Here is a 23,140-nt window from a genome sequence, read left to right as displayed (position 1 = left end):
GCGTAATGGATTAACCCCATATTATTTAAATGTTTCCAAAAAGCTATAGGAAAATGGCCATTAAAAACAAACTGACAAATTTAGCCAACAGGCCACTATTTGACAATTCTGCAAGCTTATTTTTAAAATTCAGCTTATCAAAACTGCCATTCCAGAAGCCAGGGACCTGAGTTTCCATAGAGGATGGAGTAGAATGGAGGGGCCTCTGTATAAATCTACCTCCTCGGGAACTGGGACAGTTCAGCATTCACCAGAGTAACATATGAAGAAACAGGAGATTCCTACATGCTCCTGGGGATCCAGAAGAGAGACCACTCACATGACTGGAAGATTTCCAGCTCAGGTAACCACAAAGGCCATATATTTGGTGAATACATGCAATGTTAGTTAGAATAAAACCAAATTTCTCTGAATAATATAAAGTCATTACTAATAAAACTTTTATAGATTTTTCTCTGAAGAAATTTCCAAGAAGGTGTTAAGAGAAAGCCCTACAATTAAGGTATGGAGGCTGGCTGCAGGCCCTGAAAGCTACTCTGACGAGCAATGACTTAATGCTGATAGTGGGAAGTCTCTTGCCCACTGCAGGATACAGAGAATTCTTCCTCAACCCGAGGCTTCTGCTCATTCACTCCCTTCTCAGCAGGTCCCTTCTTCTCTGAGGGCTGATGCATCCCAGCCTTCTGCTGGGACATTTTCTCATGAAGAGCTCTCTTACAGCCGTCTTTGAAAGGAAGGACAGAGAAGAAAGATGTCTATGTCTTCACAATGGCCAGGCTTTTCTCCAAAACTACCTAAAGCAATTGAAACAAAATTATGGCTTACAGAGGTTAGATTATTAGTGGAGATCCTGTAGGACGATAGAATCTCAAGAGCAGAGCCTACCAGGAAGTAGAGTGAAGCCTACAACTTCCTCAGCCATGAGGACCCAACAATCCACTGGGTAAAAGAAAGATGCAGCAAGTGCTGGGGTGGGGTCGGGGTGGGTGCTGTTATGAGAAGGAAGGGGAGGTCCCACAGGTGTTTAGAAGAAAAAACAGGCAATAAATGAATGAAAACAAATGGGGTTTAAACTAAGCTAAGGGATGAGTATTTTTGTTTCTTATAGCTGAGATAAGGTTCTTATGAAGTTCCCAGGGAATGTCCCTTCAGAGGTCAGGAAGCATTTTGCTTCCACAAGTTTTGAGAGTCATGAAGGCAGGAACACATTTTCAGATGCCAGAGCTCAAATCCCATGTCACTGGGACATCAACAATAGTGCTATGGGGAAGACTCAGGGTGCCAGCTCTTGAGTCACAATCACAGAATTAGAATGTGGAAGTAGCTACAGAACCCAAGGAAGCCCTGCCTTCTGATAGCCACACTCAATGCAAGGCTGCGTATTTCACCCTGGAGGTCTCTATAACAGGGGAGGCCACCCCCTCAATAGCCAGCTTTTTTACCCTTTTGCTTATGTTGTCAACCAATTTCTAACCACAGCAAAATAACCTAAGTATACCTCTCCTTGAAAACATCAAAATATTTTCTCAGCAGCTTTTATTTTCTTGAAGACAATTTCAGTAAAAACAATTCTTGTGGCTTTTCCTAAATGAATTTTTTTTTAACTTCTAGTGATTCTTACTCTTCGTTTTTAGGAACTCTCCAGGTTTTCACTTCCTACATTCTTTCAAGAGTATAGTGACTAAAACTGGAGAATAATCATTTAAGTCTGACTAATAAATTTAGCCTCATGTTGTATTACCTTTTAATACATAATAAATAATATATCCCAATGCGATACTTGCTTCCTTTCCCTTGCAGTAGCAACGTGTAGGGGTTTCATTTAATATGAGGTCGATTTTAACCTTCCAAACTCCCATTCCACCCACCTTTGCTTGCACTCATGGGAAGGCTCAGTCTATATCTGGTTTGCCCACATTCCTAGGCTATAGACCTCTAGGACTCCCAATTTGAGAGGCGCCATTTTTTTGGAGGGTAGTGAATTTTGATTTCTGTCTCCTTTGCATCCTTCCCAATGAAAACTGCTTTCAGCCACTCTCTGCTAGCCTCTCACCAGCACAGAGCTGAATTCACAAATGCCTTGAGGGGAAAACCTTTACCAAGTGTTCAGTTCACATCTCAATTCATTCTAGAATCTTGGCTTTTCAAGTCAAAATACCTGGACAGCTCCACATGTCTACCCACTCCCCACCCCCATGAGGTTACTTAAAGTGCTGCTGTTTTCTCTGGTTTTTAACCACTGCCCTCTCCCCAGCTTCTCAGCCTCTTGTCCCTTGCCAAGAACTAGCAAATACCCTGAGGGGGAAAAATTGTTTCATTCCAATGATCTTCTTTCTCTCTCTCTCTCTCCACCCGCTTTCTGTAGCTGGCCCTGTGGGTCCTAGCTTTTCAAAGACTTCAAACAGAATTCCTTTAAACCAGATTTTATCTACTTCTTTTCGAAGGGAGTGCTGGTTTGCCACAAAACTCCATCGTAACTGAAAGAGGAAATCTTCTACAAATTCCAGGTAAATCAAATTTTCCTACCTTGATTTCTGAAGAAAACAAAAAAAAAAGAGAAGAGGCCATTGGTAGGTATATACTTGCATTTTTCTTGTAATACTTGCGTAAGTCTGAATGGGTATTAAAGGCTCTTGCTAGAATCATGTGCCAAAGATTGTCTACCATGACCTAAACAATCAGGCCTGTCCAAGGTCCAAGAATTTGATCAGGTTGGATCCAGTCCTCTGGTGCACTAACAGAGATCCTGTTGGAGGATAGAATCCTGCTGTAGGATTCTACGTCTGTACTTTGAGTAGACACTTCAAGTAACCAGTTTTTCAGACACCTGGCCACTAATATGGGGAGAAGAGGTCAAAAAAACCATTGAATATTTCTAATTTATTTTAGGGAATGTTAAAATTTCTCACTGGTACAGTTAGAAATGAAAACAAAGACATAATAATAATAGTAATAATAATAATAACTGTTTCAAGAGCATTATTATGTGACTGGCATTGTTTCTAAGTGCTTTACTGTGTAGTAACCTATTTAGTCCACATAACGACCCTACAAGATAGTGTTGATTTTTTTGTTTGGTGGTGGTTGTTGTTGTTGTTGTTGTTGTTGTTGTTGTTGTTGTTTGAGATGGAGTCTCTCTCTGTCATCCAGGCTGGAGTGCAGTGGTGTGATCTCAGCTCACTGCAACCTCTGCCTCCCGGGTTCAAGCGATTCTCCTGCCTCAGCCTCCTGAACAGCTGGATCACAGGCCCCACAACCATGCCCAGCTAATTATTGCATTTTTAGTAGAGGCAGGGTGGTTTCACCATGTCAGTCAGGCTGGTCTCAAACTCCCGATCTCAGGTGATCCACCTACCTTGGCCTCCCAAAGTGCTGGAATTCCAGGCTGAGCCACCCCGCGCAGCCGATAGTGTTGATTATTACAACCCCTTGTTGCAGATGAGAACATTGCACTGAAAGGCTGAGCTTACCTTTCCAAGGTCCCATCATCTCTATGAGAGTGAGAGCCAGGACTCATCCAGACCCTTGCTCTGAGCCATTAGGCTTGGTGGTAACTAAGAAGATCTCACTAAGATGCGCATTCCCTCCTTCTTGCTCAATCTCCAAGATTTCGAGGACAAAATGGAAATTAAAAGTAAGGCCTACAAGATGGCTATTATTTTAAAAAGAAGGAAAGAAAATTATCAGTGTTGGTGATGATGTGGAAAAATTGAAACCCCTGTGCACTGTTGTTTGGAATGTATTAGGTTGGTGCAAAAGTAACTGCAGTTTTTGTCATTACTTTTAATGGCAAAAATCGCAATTACTTTTGCACCAACCTAATAAAATGGTACAGCCACTGTGGAAACCCATATGGTGGTTCCTCAAAATATTAAAAATAATTATCACATGATCCAACAAATTTACTTCTGGCTATATACTCAAAAGAACTGAAAGCAAGGATTCAAAGAGATATTTGTGCACCTACATCAATAGCAGTATTACAATAGCTAAAGAAGGGAAAGAACCCAAGTGTCCAACAACAGGTAAATGAATAAACAAAATGTGGCAAATACATGCAATGGAATATTATTCAGCCTTAAAAAAGAAAAGAAATTCTGACACATGCTACAACATAGATGAACATGAGGATATTATGCAAAATGAAATAAACCAGTCACAAAAGGAAAAAATACTATAGAATTCTGCTTATATGAAGTACCTAGAGTAGTCAAATTCATAGAGACAGGAAATAATGGTGGTTGTGCCAGGGGCTAGGGAGGGAAGAATGGGAAATTAATGGGTATAGCGTTTAGGAACTTTAGTCTAAGAAAGTAGAATATTGGATGCCAGAAATTCAGTTTTCTTTCTGTTCCAAGATCCCTTTAGCTAGAACGACATATTGAAGTCAGAGTTCCTAAGGGAAAATCATTGTGCATGGAGATCATCCTTGTGGATCAAATGTGAATCAATAGTAGATCAAAAGATATTCCACTTTTGCAGATATTGACATTTGTTGGACCCGTAAGATTTTATCTAGTATTAGATAGATAAGATGTGAACCACTTCTCAACACTGCAGACTCAAATACTAGGAAATACTAAGAACCTCAGGACAAACAAATAGCCAGTCCAAAAAGACTCACAGACTAGATAAGCTGTCATCTACCACCTAACAGATAATGTATCCCTGTTAACCACTATCCCCAGATGTTCATTTCATAAAATCAAAAACAGAATTCCATGTGGATCATGGAAAAAAATGGTTGACAATGTACAAATGAGAGAGAGAAAAAATACTTGTCTAAGAATTACATTTAGTGTCTAAAAGCCAAATAGCTCAATTTCTGCTCATGAGATTCAACAGATGAACTGAGGGAACATATGCCAATAGCTCTGAGATTACAGGTCCGCATGGGATGCCCATAAGGTGCAGGATTCTATTAGCTAAGATTATATGTCTCAGGTGGGCAAATCTTTGTGGACATAGCAAGAAAAAAGAAAAACTGTCAAGGAATAATATAGAGACAGTGTGATGGTTAATTTTATGTGTTAACTTGGCTAGACCACAGTGCCCAGGTATGTGGTCAAATATAATTCTGGAGGTTTCTGAGAAAGGGTATTTTGGATGAGAGTAACATTTGCATTAGTAGACTTTGAGTAGAGCAGGTTGCCCCATGTCATGTGGGTGGACCTCATCCAATCAGTTGAAGGCCTGAATGGAATGAGATTGACCTTCCTGGAAGAAGAGGAAATTCTACCAACAGAATATTTTAGGACTCAAATAACAACTCTTCCCTGGGTCTCCAGCCTGCCTGCCTTGAACTTTCACAATCATGTGAGCTAATTCCTTAAAATAAATCAATAAAAATAGATGATAGATGGATGATTCTGTTTCTCTGGAGAACCTTGACTAATACAGATAGCATACTAATTCACCCTTGCCATTTATAGAGGAAAGAGTGGAGTAATAAATATCAGAATATCTTCTCCAGACCTGGTCACCACAGAAACAAATTATAGCTGTACAAAATATCTTGGAAGTTTAGCTGAAGAGATGAGGAGATACTCTACTGCTCCATGTGCGCCATGTCATCTGTTGTACCTCCCCTTAGTTAAGTCAGGAGGGCAACACTCCCTTTATTTTTTATTTTATTTCATATGTATGTGTGTGTGAGATGGAGTCTCGCTCTGTGGCCCAGGCTGGAGTACAGTGGCGTGATCTTGGCTCACTGCAACCCTGCTTCCCAGGTTCAAGTGATTCTTGTGCTTCAGCCTCCCGAGTAGCTAAGATTACAGGCACAGGCCACCACCTGTGGTAATTTTTGTGTTTTTAGTAGAGATGGGGCTTCGCTATTTTGGCCAGGCTGGTCTCAAACTCCTGACCTCAGGTGATCCGCCCACCTCGGCCTTCCAAAGTGCTGGGATTACAGGTGTGAGCCACAGCTCTCAGCCCCTCTATTTATCAGACAGATGTATAGAAAGTTTATTGTGCTAGCAAGAGTATGAAGAAAAGGATTCTCTGAGTTGAAAAAACAAATTGGAATATAAATTGGTACCACTTCTATGGAAGGCAAATTTACAGGGCTTATTAATTAAAATAAAAAATGTGTACTGTAACCACTATGATACAGCAGTTGCACTTCCAGAACTCTACCCTATAGAAATCCGTGTACAAATAGCAAAAGATATTTGTACAAGAATGATGACTGCAGCATTATTTGTAATCGTAAAATCATGGAACAAACTTAATTTAAAAAACAACATGTAAAGGGTTACATGATGGAATAAACAAAAGAAGAAATGCCTTCATCAAAAATAATGCAGAGGATAATAATAATCTTGAGTCTACTGATAACATTATTGATCGAGCAATTATTAAATCTAGGCACATCCTGCAAATGCGGTATTATTACCATCCTCATATTACAGTTGAAAAAATATTGAGGTACAAATAGCTTGTCAATAGCCCAAAGGCACAAAGAGAAGCAAGATTTCACCCAGAACCCGTGAACAGATCACACAAAATTTATCTTGTTCCCTGGTCCAAGGAACTTCTGTACCTTCCAACTACATTTCTTTCCAACAGAGACCTTCTTGGAGGATGAGAAGCAGCCACTAGTTGACAGGAGGGGAAGTGAGGCATGTAGTCTTCAAGGGAGCAGACCACCGTGGGAGTTATAAAATATCAGCGACGCCTCTGGGTGGGTTCGAACCGCCAACCTTTTAGTTAACAGCCAAACGCGCTAGCCGATTGCGCCACAGAGACATGGCTGAGCTCCTGATTTCGTTCTAAAAGAGGGTAAGCTGTCACTAAACGCTAGCTAGCACCATCCGCCTTTTGCAAAATGATTGGGTAATCTCCAAAGCCTGACCAACATGGTGAAAACCTGCCTCCACTAAAAACACAAAATTAGCTGGGGGTGGTGGTGCATGCCTGTAATCCCAGCTACTTAGGAGGCTGAGGCAGGAGAATTGCTTGAACCTGAGAGGCGGAGGTTGCAATGAGCTGAGATCGCACCCTTGCACTCCAGCCTGGGCAACAACAGCAAAAACTCCACCTCAAAAAAAAAAAAAAAAGAAAAGAAAAGAAAATGAGCTAAGGAGCTAGGCTTCCTTATTTCACAACCTTGGCTCTGTCTCCTATGAAACCAGGGCAACTATTTAACCCCTCCATGTCTGAGTTTCCTCATGTATAAATGAAGGGAGCAATAGTACCTAGCTTATAAGGCCATTATAAGGATTTTAAAAGTTAATCTAAAGTGCTTAGGACAGTGTATGGCATAGAGCAAGCACTCAGTAAATCCATTCATTCAATAAATGTTTATTGAATATAGGTGTGGCTGCTGTTTTGGCTGATGAGTATACTAAAGTCAGTGAAACAGACGAAATCTGTGGAGCTTTCTTCCTTGGGGGAGGAGGCCAACAACAACAACGAATACACACAGAGGAAGAGCAATGGAATGAATTGTGTTCCCTCCCCTCCCAAATTCATATGTTGAAGCCCTAACTGCCAACGTGATGGTATCTGGAGATGGGGCATTTGGGAAATAATTAGATTTAGAAGAGATCATGAAGGTGGGAGACTCGTGATGGGATTAGTGCCCTTTTAAGAAGAGAAAGAGTCAGGTGCAGTGGCTCTTGCCTGTAATCTCAGCACTTTGGGAGGCCAAAGCAGGAGGATCGCTTGAGTCCAGAGTTTGAGACCAGCCTGGGCAACATGGTGAGACGCCATCTCTATAAAAATAAAAATAAAAAATTAGCCCAGTGTGGTGGCACACACCCATAGTCTCAGCTACTTGGGAGGCTGAGGCGGGAGGTTGAGGCTGCAGTGAGCTATGGTTCTCATCAGTGCACTCCAGCATGGGTGACAGAGCAAGACTGTCTCAAAATGAAAGAAAAAACAAGAGAGAGAGAGAGATACACCAGGGCTCTCTCTATGTCCTGTGAGGACACAGCAAGAAGGCAGCTGACTGCAAGCCAGGAAGAGAGCCCTTACCAGGAACTGAAGCTGTCAGCACCTTTATCTTGGACTTCCCAACCTACAGAACTGTGAGAACTAAATGTGTGTTGTTTAACAGACATTTTGTCTATGGTATTTTGTTTGTTGTTGGTATTTGTTGACATTTTGGTATTGGTGTGTTGTTTGTTGGTATTTTGCTATCAGCAACCCGGCAGACTAATATAGATTTATATGTAAACATATATTTGAATAGGAACCCTGCAGAAGCCACATAGCTGGTTTTACTGATGCAAAGAGCCCTATGCTACAGTATGATGAGGTGAAGGGCTTACATTTCCCTTTCAGCAGTGGTATCCACTCTCCACAGCGTAGACTTGGAGAAGCCACTTGACTCTCATCTTAGATTCCTGCATCTGTAAAATGATGAACTAGATGATACCCAAAATTTTAGATTCTATCCATCTTATGGTTGGAATAACAGCCCACCTTCTAGGTCAATTACACACACAGGTGTGCTGATGCTTAGGGTGGCAGAGAGGGTGTCCCACAAGTAGACACTGATTATCCTAACTGTAACTTTCAAATGGAAAATTAATTAAATCTCTAAATTTGGATTTGGCTTCCTAGTTAGCACTGTTTCCTTCCTGGAAAAGAAATAGTTATGTGTCAGACAGAACAGCCCCCTCTGATCATTTTTTTCCTTCTTCCTTGCATTATTGTTAGCTCTGACTGTGCAGCTCTCCTGGTGTCTCTCCCTTTCTAGATAACAGCCTAGAAAAAGGAGCTTATGGTTTCCCTGAGGTTCTTTTGATAAATGGCTGACATTTGATTGAACCATTCTCATTTCACTTATTTTTCACTTTCACAGAAAAACTGTAGTAGGTATAACAGCACAAGGTAATCATTTTTAAATTATTCAGACATTTTTAAAAATTTGATTCTGCTTCTCTCACCTCTGAAAGATGTTACTGGGGTGTCTTGGTTGCAAAGATTCATTCAAGTTCTTTTGCTTTTGGATTCTCCATATTCTCTGAGGAAGTGACTGCATCTAAGACTGTGTCCAAGGAAGCATCTTATCACTTTCATCCTTTGATCCCTGAGTGCCTTTCACTACCAGATATACTAAAACAAAAATCTTCTCTTAGCTCCCTGGTGCAGTGGAGTTGAGGGATAACCACAAAGAATTCAGAGTACATCACATAACGGAACTGTCAGGAAGCTTTTGATGGCAGAAACATATTTTCCTGGTGATGAGATTAGAAGGATCTTCATATAACCATCAGATATGTTATTGTCACTTCTGAACAATGCTTTTTATAGCAGATTGTTTCTCAAAAAGGAAATAGAAATGCGATTTTAAAATATGAAAAATATGTTCAATCTCATTATTAAGATAAATGCAAATACAAATTATAAGAGGACTTAACAGATTGGCAAACATCAGAAAAGTGAACAACCTCCTCCACTGGCATTCTTTTTTTTTTTTTTTTGAGATGGAGTTTCACTCTTGTTGCCCAGGCTAGAGTGCAGTGGTACGATCTCAGCTCACTGTAACCTCCACCTTCCAGTTTCAAGCGATTCTTCTGACTCAGCCTCCCGAGTAGCTGGGATTACAGGCTCCTGCCACCACACCCGACTAATTTTTGTATTTTCAGTAGAGATGGGGTTTCACCATGTTGGCCAGGCTTGTCTTAAACTCCTGACCTCATGATCCGCCCGCCTTGGCCTCGGGAGTATAATTTGCTGTATGGAGGGCAATTTGACAGTATCTATCAGATTTTATAATGTACAGAGCCTTGAATTCAGTAATTCTACTTTTAGGAACTTATCCCACAGATATTCCAGACATGCTCAAAGATGTAGGTACAAAGATTTTATTGCAGTATTATTTGTAAGAGTAAAAAACCAGTCCATGAGGAAGACTAGTTCAATAAGTTAATAATCTAGAATATATCGATATAATGGAATACTATCAAAGAACAATTTTCACAATGTATTTTTAAGAGGGGGAAGGTACAGAAACATATGTAAGGAGTTTCATTTGTTTAATATACAATTAGTGACACAGGTTGCATCTGGGGAGGAAAATTAGGGAACAATTTTTTGTTGTACACCTTTATCTTTCATTGTATCTCTTTCAAAACCTTTTGTACCATTTGTGTGTATTGTGTATTTTAAAAATTAATTTAAATTTCAACAACCGTTATAGTGATGCAAAAAACCCTATAGAAATAACAGTTTACATTCAATTTTGCTATATGTCAGGTACTGATTTTTCAACCACAACCTTGTAAGATACGTGCTATTATCATCCCCACTTCACAGGGGGAAACCTGTGGTAGAGAGAGGCTGAATAACTTGTACAAGGATTCATACCTAATCAGTAGCAGAGCTCAGATTTGAACCCAGGCAGCCTGTTTCCAGAGACCATACTTTACCCACCATTCTATACTGCTCTGAGGTCACAGACCTCCATGATGAACTCTTAATTGAGTGCAGTCAATAGGAAACTCAGATAAACTCAGATGTACAAGAAATATCTCACTTCTTCATTTGCTTTTCACCTACTTAACTCTGACTCTGAGTCCCCATCCAGCTTGATTGGCAGAAATTGTAATCTCAGTCATTATTTGGACTCTCCACTGCAAGGGTTTTTCAAGGTCCTGGAATCTTACATGGCACCAAAGCTTGGCAGAGATCCTGCCAGTTGTCAATACATACTGGTTACCACTGACATGTCCATTGCAGTCCAGTACTCTCCTGCGGCCATGTGTAGTCCTACTCACCCTCACCCATAGACTGAAAACTTCCTTATATTCTTGGGAAATTTTCTCCTTTCCTTTTCCTGCTGCCTTCAAAGACATTGATAATACTATCTTCATTGAGTTCAGGTTTTATCTACAGACAGCTAGATCATTCTGCAAAATATCTCTAAGGTAAGAAATTACTAAGGGCCTACCTAACTCACTTAGATCAAAGGGGTAGAGAAAGTACAGAAAGTAGACAAAGAAATTAATATTTCAATAGATTATCCTGCCACAGAGTCATAGCCATGAAAAACAATAACTTTGGATTTGGAATTTACCTCCTACCTCAAGTTTCCCTCTGCAAGTGTTTGGACTTGCATGTTATGGAATGATGATTGTAATGAACCATGCCTTCTATTGGTAGCAGATTTTGACTGAGATATAGGACAGTTAACAACTGCAGTTTGAATGCAAAGGCAGACAGAGTACACTTTGCACAAGGGACAAAGAACTGATAGGGAAACAAGGACAGTCTCCTTTTACACCTTAAAAATCCTCAAATAAGAACCTGGCTTCTGCTCAGCTAACCGACACATAAGTGCAGAAAAAAAGACAAGATTGGAATCCAAGGAAGGAAATGTTAGAATCCAAGGGCCAGGAATCAAAGAGAATATATTTAAATAGAAACCAGGTTGATACTAGAACTTTGGGATGCCTAGAGTAGGCGGGAAAAAGATGTATGATCTAAGCACAGGATATTTCGAATACAGGAGCTTGGATAAGAAGTCTATCCCAAATTCCATCTGCCACCAATGAAAGCAGAAAGGAAATACGTAATGAGAGCCAAGCCATGGGGAAATAGTCCAAGATGGGTGTGCCTCCTGTGTATTTAGTAATCATGTCCAGCTCAGCAAATCTGAGTTTCTTTATTCCTTGAGCCACTGTCCATTTTAATGAACAGGGAACATTTGATCTCAAGCAGCTTCAGAAACTCAATTTTCCCCCAGCCTTTGTCTAGGTTTTATAGAGGAAAAGGTATAGTTGCAGTACTGGTTGATATTTGCTTGTGAGAGCTCTTGGGCAGGTAATTCTTGATCCTTTGCTCCACCTAGTGGATTTCCAGGCTAGAGAGACTCTGGAAAAGAGATCAGTGATCAGAAGGGTGTACATTTGCTGATAAATGAGACTTACCAGTCAGTTTCTGGATTATCGTCAGTTTCTGGATTATCGTCTGTTTCTTTACTGACGATACCCGATTCCATCCCAAAGTGTCCTTGTTTGAATTGATTGAAATCTTTCATTTATTTCCATTAATGCCAGATGTGTAGCTGTAAGTCATCAAAATCTAATGCATTCCTTTTCTCTCTTCTTAATATATAAATAACATTATATAATCAGGAGACCCATATCAGCACAAGAAAGCATATTCTACTTATAATTATATCCTCTGAGGGCCAAACACACTCAAACCTCAACAGAGTCATTTAATTAAACAATGACCTACCTGCTTAACACTTTGGGGACTCCTTTGAACAATAATTGGTTAAAGAGTCATAGGACCCTTTCTCAAGAAGTTTCACATCCAATTATAAAAACAGATGAAATAACACTGGAAAGCAGGGCGACGCTGAAAAATTTCAGGTAGAAGAGAATTCAGAGCTGACTCTTACACAATATCCATATGTGGAGATAAAATTAGTGTTAATGTAGGTTTAAGCCATTAGAGTTACAACATAAATTTGACAATCTATGCTTACTTGCTGGCTGACCATGTCCCTGTCAGTTACCAGCCTTAAAGGCTACCAAGGCATTATTCTTTATTCCTTACCTATATTTAATACTTACTTTTTGTTATGGGTTGAATTGTGTCCCCCAAGTATTCATATGTTGAAGTGCTAACCCTCAGTCCCTCAGAATGTGACCTTATTTGGAGATAGGGTCTTTATAGAGGTAATCAAGTTAAAATGAGGTCATTAGGGCATCTCTACTCCAATATGCCTGCTATCCTTATAAAGAGGGGAAATTTGGAGACAGATGCACACAAAGGAAGAACACCATATGAAGATGAAGATGGCCCTCTACAGGCCAAGGAGAGGAGCCTGGAATGGATTCCTTCCTCACTTCCCTCAGAAACAACCAACTCTGCTAATACCTCGATATTGGGTTCCCAGCCTCCAGAACTGTGAGAAGATAAATTTCTGTTGCTTAAGTCACCCAGTTTGAAGAACTTTGAATGGCAGCCCTAGTGAATTAGTTCAATTGCCTCTGGCAAATGAATAAGAAGCTCACTGCAAAAATGAAATTAATCCACCGAGTGCTAGAGTTGGACGGGATCTCAGAAAATGTATTGCACAATCCCCTTGTTTTGAAATAAATGCCCAAGGTCACACAGCAAGTTGGTGACTTAGTCACTCTTTTAGCTCAACTTTCAGTCCATCAACGTTCTATCACAGTCTGCCAACTATTTCAAAGATGGTGGCAAAATCAGCCAATGATGGTGATTAGATCCAAAACTTAGTTGCAAATAATTTTTCGGGGAACTATATGCAAGCATAGGTCCTTCCTAAATATTTGCTAATGGAAGCATGTGCTAAATAGGATGCCTACCAGAAGACTGATACCCAGCAGAATAGCTAGACAGGTAATTTGACCTCTGGCTGGGCCCGTAGGATTCATCATCCCTCCAGACAAGCACTTGGTTGTGGTAAAGATCTGGCTCTGGTTGGAAGGCTGTCCCATCCCACTGAGGGTGATTCACCAGAGCAACTTAATCATCTACGGATCAGAAGCTCAGGTTCATGTGAGCAGGGTGGGGGTTAAGGGAAAGAGAGTCTGAGTAATGCTTCACAGTGGGTGTGGGGACTTGTTATAATAGTAGGCACGCTGTTGATTAAAGTACATGACAGAAGTAATTGCCAGAGATCCCAAACCAGCCATCACCTAGCATTAGAGATGTATCTAATATCAGACAGAAAGCCTAGTTTCAACTCTGCAGCAGAGGCCTTTGAAAAGTCTCCAGAAGTAATTGGCACTTAATCAATGCAATCATTATTACAGCACATGGCTACTGCAGCTTCAGGCCCTCTTGCAACCACTGAACTGCAAAAGAGGAGACTATGTCTGTAGAATTTTACCACCAACACAACATTTGATTCACAATCTCAGACTAGATAGGAGTGAACATATTTTCATATTTATATATTTTAGAAATACAGGTTCACTGTCAATAAGAATTCAGTCTTGTATAAATGATGGTATAAACAGGGAGGGGCATTTTCCCTTTACAGAGGCTTAATCAGCATTAATTTTGAGAGATAGGAAAGCAAAATCTACCACAGGCTGTTAAGCATTTGTTTTTCATCTAATCTTCTCAACCCTCCATTCAATATTTGGGGGAGTATGACTGTTTATCACTTGCTGAGATATGCAAGGTGCACATGCTGCTTATAATTAAGGAACAAAGAAATGTTGACTTTGCTCTTGGTCTTGCTTCATAAAGTGTTACCACTGGGCATCAAATTGGGTGTTTAAAGGAGAATATACCTCTCTTGGAGAGTAGACACGATTTTTAGGCCTAGATCGTCTCTTCTTTTCCCCGCAGGAGTTCGTAGTTAACTTTCCATCACTCTGTAAAAGGCAATTAGAAAAAAGAAAAAGCCCAAGTTCCCCTCTTGGCATCTTGCAGAAGTCTTTCATGCATAATGGATGAGAGGAAATGGGGAGAAAGAAAAGAAACATCCTGAAATTTAAGCACCCGTAAATGTTTTCATAGATGTTGGTAGTCTATTTCAGTGTTTTTCAAAGGATATTCCCAGATTACCCACTTCAGGATAAGCTGCATTGTTGACAATGCAGATTGCCAGGCCTCAATATTAGACCTGAATCAGAATTTATGGGACTAGGACCCTGGAATCTACATTGTTAGCAAGTGTCTCCAGGGATTCCTGTATACACTGAAATGGAGCCTACTCATCTATCTTCCATAGTCTAAACAGTGCTGTGCTCAGTATCTCCCTCCCTACACCTCTCCCTTGTTAATCAAATCAAGTCTCTCATATTTAAATGTCTTTTTGTATGCAGATGGCTCTCAAATTTATATCCACAGCCCACACCTCTTCCCTAAAACTCCAGAATCCTATACCCTACTGCCTGATTGACATTTAATAGGCATATTCAAAAACAAACTCTTGAATTTTCTCTCCAAACTTGTCCTTCTTCATCTCCATAAATAGCACCATGATTACCATAAAACCTTGAAGTCACTGTTGACTGCATCCTTGGCATCTTCCTCACTTTCTCTCATATTCATTTCCAATCCATCAGAGTACTGTCAGCTCTACTTTCAAAATATGCCCCAAATCTTCCTCTATCTCAAAGACCAGATAGGAGGCTGCTATCAAAATATGATGTTTTGATTATATAATATATATTATATTATAGACTTGATATATTGTATACTCACAGCTACACATTTGGCATTAGTGGAAATAAATGAAAGATTTCAATCAATTCAAACAAGGACACGTCGGGATGGAATAGGGTATCGTCAGTAAAGAAACTGACAATAATCCAGAAACGGGCTGGTAAGTCTCATTTATCAGCTAATGTACACACTTCTGATAGCAGCCTCTTATCTGGTCCCACTGCATGTTTTCTGTATCAGCCAGAGTTCATTTGCAGATAACAGAAGCCATTCTAGCTATTTGAAGCAGAAAGGGATTCAAAACAGTTGTGGTAGATTGATGTTACAAAAATCCTTCCTGTTTCACCCACCTTTTTGCAATTGCCACAACTCCCATAAAGAGATGAAGTCTATTTTTCTCTCCTTGTAAATCTGGGCTAGCCCTCGGTTTAATTCTGACCAATGGAAAGAGGCAGAACTGATGCTGTGTCACTTCCAGACCTAGCCTTAAGAGGCTTTGCGGCTCCCACTCTCACCCTCTTAGAAGAAAGCAGCCGTCCTGTAAGGAAGCTCAGGCTAGATTACTGAATGATGAGAGACCATAGGAGAGAGAGGTCTCAGCCTTTCAAGGCATCCCTGCCAAAATCCTAGACATACGAGTGAGACAAAGTAGGGCCACTGACAGCTGAATACACCCACCTGCCTGTGGAGCCAGGCAGGATCAGCAGAATTGCCCAGCCAAACTAAGTTTTTGGGGTGCTTATTACACAGCAAGAGATAACTGAAATGTCACTAAATTTAGGGATTGCAAAACCATTGGAGGGTTGGTGGGGCAGGCTGTAAATGTGGCCTCCAGGAATGACTCACAGAATAACACCACAGAACTGCCCTGTTAGAAGAATCGCCGCTCCTACCATAGTCTGAAAGCTAAGGATCAAGAAGCCATCAACCACTTTCTAGCTTCAGAAACACACTATCTTAGTCATGCTCTGGACATCAGGAAGTCTCCACAAGTCTGTTGGCTTCAGAATCATACCACAGATCAATTTTAGATAGCAAAATGGATAAAGTGCTGTGACCACCTTTTCCCCACTGAAGTTTGTTCTGAAATCAAGACTTATGCAAATGCATATAACTAGCAAAAAGTAAATTATATAAACCCCTAGCTGCAAGAGAATCTTTTTAGCTTTTTTATTTTTTATGTTTATTTTTTGTGGCAGGGTCTTGCTCTGTTGCCTAGGCTGGAATGCATTGGTGCAAACATGGCTCACTGCAGCCTTGAGCTTCTGGGCTCAGACCTTCCTCCCACCTCAGCCTCCCATGTAGTTGGGACCACATGTGCATGTCACCATGCCCCGCTAATTTCTTGATTTTTTCTAGAGACTGGGGTCTCACTTTGTTGCCCTGAATGGTCTCGAACTCCTGGGCTCAAGCAATCCTCCTGTCTTGGACTCCCAAAGTGTGGGATTAACAGGCATGAGCTACCGCACCCAGCCCACTTTTAGCTTTTTGGCCTAGGCACTGTGGGTAGGCATAGAAGAAAGAATTTTTTTAAAAATGCTTTGTTCACTGCGTAACGCTCACAATAGTGTTCACACAAAAGAGATGCTCATTAAATATTTGTTAAATGATTGAACTAAAGTTTGATAAAGCAAAGGCATAACTTAGAAATGACTGTCTCTAGTTCGCCCAAAGTATGAAATTCTGTATGCCTAAAACTCTCTTTCAGTAATTCTCTTTTATGAATATATTCTGGAATATCAAGAAAGATCTAGGATTCAGGATTTTTTTCAGCCCAATATTTACCATCTTTACTATAAGTGTACAACCATCCCAAGTCAGACAAGCTGAGTCTATTTGGTTTTTTTTTGTAATAAATTTTAATTGGAAAAGATGAATTTGGGAGAATGGGAAGAAGGTTTTGAAGGGCAAGCCCTTCAGTCATTTCTGCTTCCTATGGCTTTGGCCACCATCTCACTTTGAGGGCTTGTTCTTCAGGATACTGACAGCTTGATTTCTCTGGGTAATGTCACACAAAGGAAATTAGCTCAGTATGTCTTCTACTGAATTCCATCTGTAGCTCAATGTTTGAAGGTATTTGTGAACATGACTACAGAGCAATTTTGATAAGACAAGGCAATGTTCCAGTCTCTGAGAATATTTTCCCCAAAGAACTATTTTTTAAAATACCACTGAACAGCCTGAAAACCCACCCACACATGAGCAATCTCCTGCAATATACAGAAAGCTTTTCAGGTGTCACAGCCATAATAGCAGGTGGTTCCTTTGGGTAGAAAAATTATGGCAAGAATATAGCGACAGAAAGCAAACTGTTTTGATATTCTGGGTACAACTTTCCCCAAGTGAATCATTCCCATATGCCTACTTTTACCACGGGCGCCTTTCCAGAGGAAGTGATTTGTGTGAACGGAGGTGTAGAGATGCATTCTGGTGGGCACACTTCATTGGTGCCCATATTTAGCAGATCCAATTAATCGTCAGCTATTTGTCAACCCATTCCTCTGTAAGTCTCAAAATGCAAAATTCGAATATGAATTTGATACCTATTTTTGCTTTCCACATAACAAATACATAATCTTGTTATGAAGATTCAGTAGTGCTCTTTTAAGGCAAGGCTGCTTCTGAAATTCCATATGAATAGATTTTTAAATACAAGCTTATAAAGAAGGCTGAGATTAGAGCAATTTGCAAAAGGCAGTCATTTAATTCACTTTTTATTACGAAATATTTGAGACATACAAATAGCTTAAAGAGCTTATTTACTCTGCTGTAAACTTTTGTTGCTTGTAAGATAAAAATCTGGACTTGTAAAAAAGACTTTGTTTCTAGATAGAACAGCAAAGTTGCAAAGTAAGAGTTTTGCATAATTTTTTTCTTTCTCTATAGTGTATAAGACTAGCATTTTTATTGTTTACAGATAAACCAAATCTCCCTTACTGAAAAGGGAGATGTTGTTGTCCCCATCTCAATTTAAAACAAAAATCAACTAAGCTCTAATAGGAAAAGATGTGTACAGGAAGATTGCTAATGGAAAACTTTTATTTTTACATTTTATTTGTATTTAATTTTTAAATTTTTATTTGTTTTATTTATTTGAATGGAAGACAACTGCATTGAAAAATAAAAAGAACCGGGTACGGTGGCTCATGCCTGTAATCCCAGCACTTTGGGAGGCCGAGGTGGGTGGATCACTTGAGGTCAGGAGTTCAAGACCAGCTGGGCCAACATGGTGAAACACCGTCTCTAGTAAAAATACAAAAAAATTAGCCGGGCATTGTGGCATGTGCCTGTAATCCCAGCTACTCAGGAGGCTGAGGCAGGAGAATTGCTTGAACTCAGGAGGTGGAGGTTGCAGTGAGCTGAGATCACGCCACTGCACTCCAGCCTGAGCAACAGAGGAAGACTCCATCTCAAAAAAAAAAAAAAAAAAAAAAAGAAAAGGAAAAAAAGAAAAAGAAAGCACAGTTATTAAGCTACTTAATTCTGGGCTTTCCAAATCTTAGAGTGGTGTCATTTGCTAGCTGGGTGACCACGAACAAGTTCTTTAACCTCTCTGTGCCTCAGTTTCCTGATCTCTATGGGGAGGATAGGATCCATCAGTTAGGGGTTACATGTGAAGCACTTGGAACAATGCCTGGCACACAGTAAGCCCTCTATCAATGGTAACTCATTTTCTTCTTTACCCTCAACTAGAAAGTCAGCTCCACATGACAGCAGCAATTCTGTCTTGCTTAGTTCTGCAGCCTCAGCATCTATTTTGCCCATAGTAGGCACTGAATAAATATTCGTTGAACTAACTGATTAATGAAAAATAACTGGGCTTTGAGGTTGAAAGTCAAAGGAAATTTCTCCTAAGTTTTATAGCTAGTGAGGGAAAAATGGACAGCAGTTTAGAGTCAGGGAGGTAGAAGAAAACCCTAAACTAAGATGAGAAGCCTGATTGAAGTTCAGATTCTTCCAACTCTCTGGGTATTGCAATCAGGATTTTATTTCTTAATTTGCTCATTTATTTATTTACTTATTATTATTATTTTTTGAGACAGGGTCTCATTTTGTTACCCAGGCTGGAATGTAGTGGCACAATCACAGCTCACTGCATCCTTGATGTCCCAGCTCAAGTGATCCTTCCACCTCCGCCTCCTGAGTAGCTGGACTACAGGCACGCGCCACCACACCTGGCTAATTTTTAAAATTTTTGTAGACACTAGGCCTCACTTTGTTGCCCAGGCTGGTCTCAAACTCCTGGCCTCGGGTGATCCTCTGGCCTCAGCCTCTCAAAGGGTTGGGATTACGGACGTGAGCCACCATGCCTGGACTCTTTCTTAATTTGTAAAATGGGAATGATAGCTCCCAAGGTTATTCTGAGGAGTAAATGACACTGCATGTGAAAGCTCTTAATAAACTGTAAAGGAATATACAAAAGCATGATATAGTTAATTTCTATCTCAGTAAGTTTTTCCATTGGATGACAATAAAGGGATTCTTTGAGAGTGTTGGAAAAAGGAATCTTTAGCTAAAGATTTCGGTACTAAAAATATTCAACCCCAGAGGTACCACAGACATAGACTAATTTTTTCCATCTGTGCAGTTTAGGGTAGATTTGGCATACGCTCAATACCAGGCAAGAAAGAAACTATGGTTTAGGCTGCTTTTAAAGTTAAAAAAAAAAAAGGCAGAAAAGGAAACTATTTCCTTTTATAAGCAGGAATGTTAAAATAGGGAAAGCTTTCATCGAGCAATTCACTACTGAATCAAAACTATTTGATCCATATTCTCACCTACCTCCCCTCACTCCGTATTTGTGTTGTGGTTAGTTGTCTTCTAGATCATGGTTTATATATCATGGTCACTTCCTCACTAAAGTTAAACAATATAGATTATTCTTAACCAGCCACATGTGACTCAGAGGTCAAAAGAGTGTTCTTTTTGGGTAATCTCTCTCAATTGCTAATACTTAAGGACCTGGTTTTCAGAACCATTGATTATTTAAAATGTATGTCTTTAAGATTAGGCTCCACCCAAGATGCCTCCTCAGAGGCTAAGTTTGAGGTTGAGAAACTAGCTTAAGGAGAAAGATAAAGTAGCAGAAATGTCATGGCGGGTGAGCTGATGACTCACTGCCCCTTCCTTGAACTGCAAGAATGACAAAATGGAAAAGGGGAAAAAAAAAGGCAATGCCCTACTGCAGACTAGAGGCTCCATGAAACCCAAGAAATTCCGAGAACTTGAAGAACTACATGGGTTCTTAGGGTAAAGGCAGTAAGTTTAATTTCCATGGTCAAATTGTTAAGTGCATCAAAGAAAGGACATTAGGAAAGCTAAACTTGATTATACTTTACCATCAGAGCCATCATCCTCAATCTGATCATTTTATTCTCCTGCTTAAAAACTTCAATAACTCCACATTGCTACTGGACCAAGTCTAAACTTACAATCGTATAGTAGAATATTCTTCATAACATATAACCTTCCTTGTTAACTTCACCTTGTAATTAATTCTTTTTTTAAAAAAAATTTATTTATTTTTTAACTTTTGAGACAGGGTCTCACTCTGTCACGCAGGCTGGAGCGGAGTGGTCCAATCATGGCTCACTGCAGCCTCAGCCTCCTAGGCTCAAGTGATCCTCCCGCCCCAGCCTCCCAAGTACCTGGGACTACAAGCCTGTGCCATCACCCTGGGCTTATTTTTGTATTTTTTGGTAGAGATGGGTTCCCACTATCTTGCCCAGGCTGGTCTCAAACTCCTGGCCTCAAGCAATCCTTCCTCCTCAGCCTCCCAAAGTGCTGGTATTATAGGTGTGGGTCACCATGCCTGGCCGAATTAATTTTTATTACATGTCTTGGAAGGTATGGGGGACAACTTAGAACTTCCCAAATAAGCAAGATACTTTTAAATTCCCATCAATTTGTTTACACTATTCCCTCTGCTTAAAACTCTCATCCCAGCTGGCAACTCCTAACTGCTTCAAAGCCTGCCTCAAGTATCATTTCTTCTCAGTAGCTTTCTCAATTCCTATGCTCTCTTGCTCAACTCCCACTCTCTCCTGCTACTCAGAATGATTGCTCTTTCATCTCTGGAGTCATAGCACTTTAAGCATGCCTTTGTTAAATCACTTAACCCAATGAAATAAATGGACTCACAGAGTTCTATCCTTTCCTCAACTTACTGTGTACTCCCTGAAGGCAAGTGTGAGCATGTCATTGTACAATTCTTGCCACACTATTGGAGAATAATACAGGTGTGTTGAATTGAATGAAATATTAAAAGAGGACCAAAGAATAGATGGATCTTCTAGGCCTAGGAATTATACTAGGAGTAGAAGGTGTATCCTAAATCCATGTATGTGATTCTGCTTTGGTCTTACCAGAGTGAATGTAATTTGCTTTTATTTAAAAACAGTGTTGACAGGCCATGCACAGTGGCTCATGCCTGTAATCCCAGCACTTTGGGAGGCCAACGCGGGAGACCACCTGAGGTTAGGAGTTCGAGACCAGCCTAACCAACATGGAGAAACTCCATCTCTACTAAAAATACAAAATGAGCTGGGTGTGGTGGTACGTGCCTGTAATCCCAGCTACTTGGGAGGCTGAGGCTGGAGAATTGCTTGAACCTGGGAGGCGGAGGTTGTGGTGAGCCAAGATCACACCATTGCAGTCCAGCCTGGGCAACAAGAGTGAAACTGCATCTAAAAAAAAAAAATCCCAAAAACAGTGTTGGATTCACACTCATGCGTGTAATCCCAATACTTTGGGAGGCCGAGGCTGGTGGATCACTTGAGGCCAAGAGTTCAAGACCAGGCTGGCCAACATGGCAAAACTCCTTCTACTAAAACTACAAAAATTAGCCAGGCATGGTGGTGCATGCCTGTAGTCCCAGCTACTCGGGGGTGCTGAGGCATGAGAATCGCTTGAACCCTGGAGGTGGAAGTTGCAGTGAGCTGAGATCATGTCACTGCACTCCAGCCTGGGTAACAGAGCGAGACCCTCTCTCAAAAACAAACAAACAAACAAAAAAAGCCCCACAAACCAGTGTCATTTAGCCAGGTGTGGTGCATGCCTGTGGTCCTAGCTACAGGGGAGGCTGAGGCAGGAGGATTGCTTGAGTCCAGGACTTCAAGGCTGTAGTGAGCTATGATCACACCACTGCACTCCAGCCTGGGCAACAAAGCGAGACCCTGTCTCTAAAGAAAACAACAACAACAACAAAAAACCCTCAAACCACACTAGTGTCATGAATATATTTCTTTAGATAAAACTTTATTAATCAGCTTTCTGTTTAGAATTGGCTTTCCCATAATCCAGTTAACCAAAGGTAGTTGAGTAATTTGAAATATTCCCCAGCTGGAGTAGAATCACATTTGGGGCTTGCTTCAATCAGTGCACCTCTGTCTTGCTTTTGCTTTTCAGAGAGACCCTAGGTCAATCATAGCCTTTGAAGGCATGAGCTGAACGGAAACCAGATGAACTCTATTGAATTTTAAATTTGCCACATTTCCTAGTCTAGTATTAAACTTTTCTTCTCTAGTTGAGCAAGTTAACCAAAGAAGTATATATATATTTTTTCTCTTATAGATTATGCTCACCTAAGAACTTGAGGTTACAACACACACACACACACACACACACACACCCAAAAAACCAAATCGCAAAACAAATTATTCCATACTCATTCCATTGGTTCTTTTGATGGCCTTCTGTCAGTGTTAATGGTTGGTGTGAAAGATTTTTGGAAACGTTTTCCAGGAGGGAGTAATAGCATTTCCTGAAGCACCTTTTATCTTGGTTTGTGGCAAATGATTCTTTCAATGCCCTCAGGTCACTTATACCCTAAGACCCTGCATGAGTTTATTCAACCTTCAAATCAGTCACTTCTGCCCTCATCTAGGGCACATAACAATGTAGTTAGTTACCCAGCAGGTATCCCGGCTAAGTAAGACCATAAATAAATCATATGAGCAGGAGCTTTTGGAGTCAGTCTTCTGTCTGAGCACCTCTAACCGGTTATGCTACCTTAAACAAATTACTTAAC

At 40.4% G+C, this 23,140-nt stretch overlaps 1 non-coding gene across 1 annotated transcript, besides 1 other annotated feature; it reads right to left on the bottom strand.

Annotated features, from left to right (window-relative positions):
• Positions 6,591–6,885: an enhancer, noted in NCBI's record as "tiled region #11936; HepG2 Activating non-DNase unmatched - State 24:Quies". NCBI's record gives its function as "activates a minimal TATA promoter and a strong SV40 promoter by Sharpr-MPRA in HepG2 cells {active_cell/tissue: HepG2}" and the evidence as "EXISTENCE:reporter gene assay evidence [ECO:0000049][PMID:27701403]".
• Positions 6,674–6,747, bottom strand: TRN-GTT10-1 (tRNA-Asn (anticodon GTT) 10-1). The gene has a single exon. It is a non-coding gene; the product is annotated as a tRNA-Asn (tRNA).

The sequence above is a fragment of the Homo sapiens genome, chromosome 1 (assembly GCF_000001405.40).
Source record: "Homo sapiens chromosome 1, GRCh38.p14 Primary Assembly".
NCBI lineage: Eukaryota > Metazoa > Chordata > Mammalia > Primates > Hominidae > Homo > Homo sapiens.
Note: the sequence above shows the minus strand (reverse complement) of the source record. Positions and strands in the feature narration are given on the sequence as shown.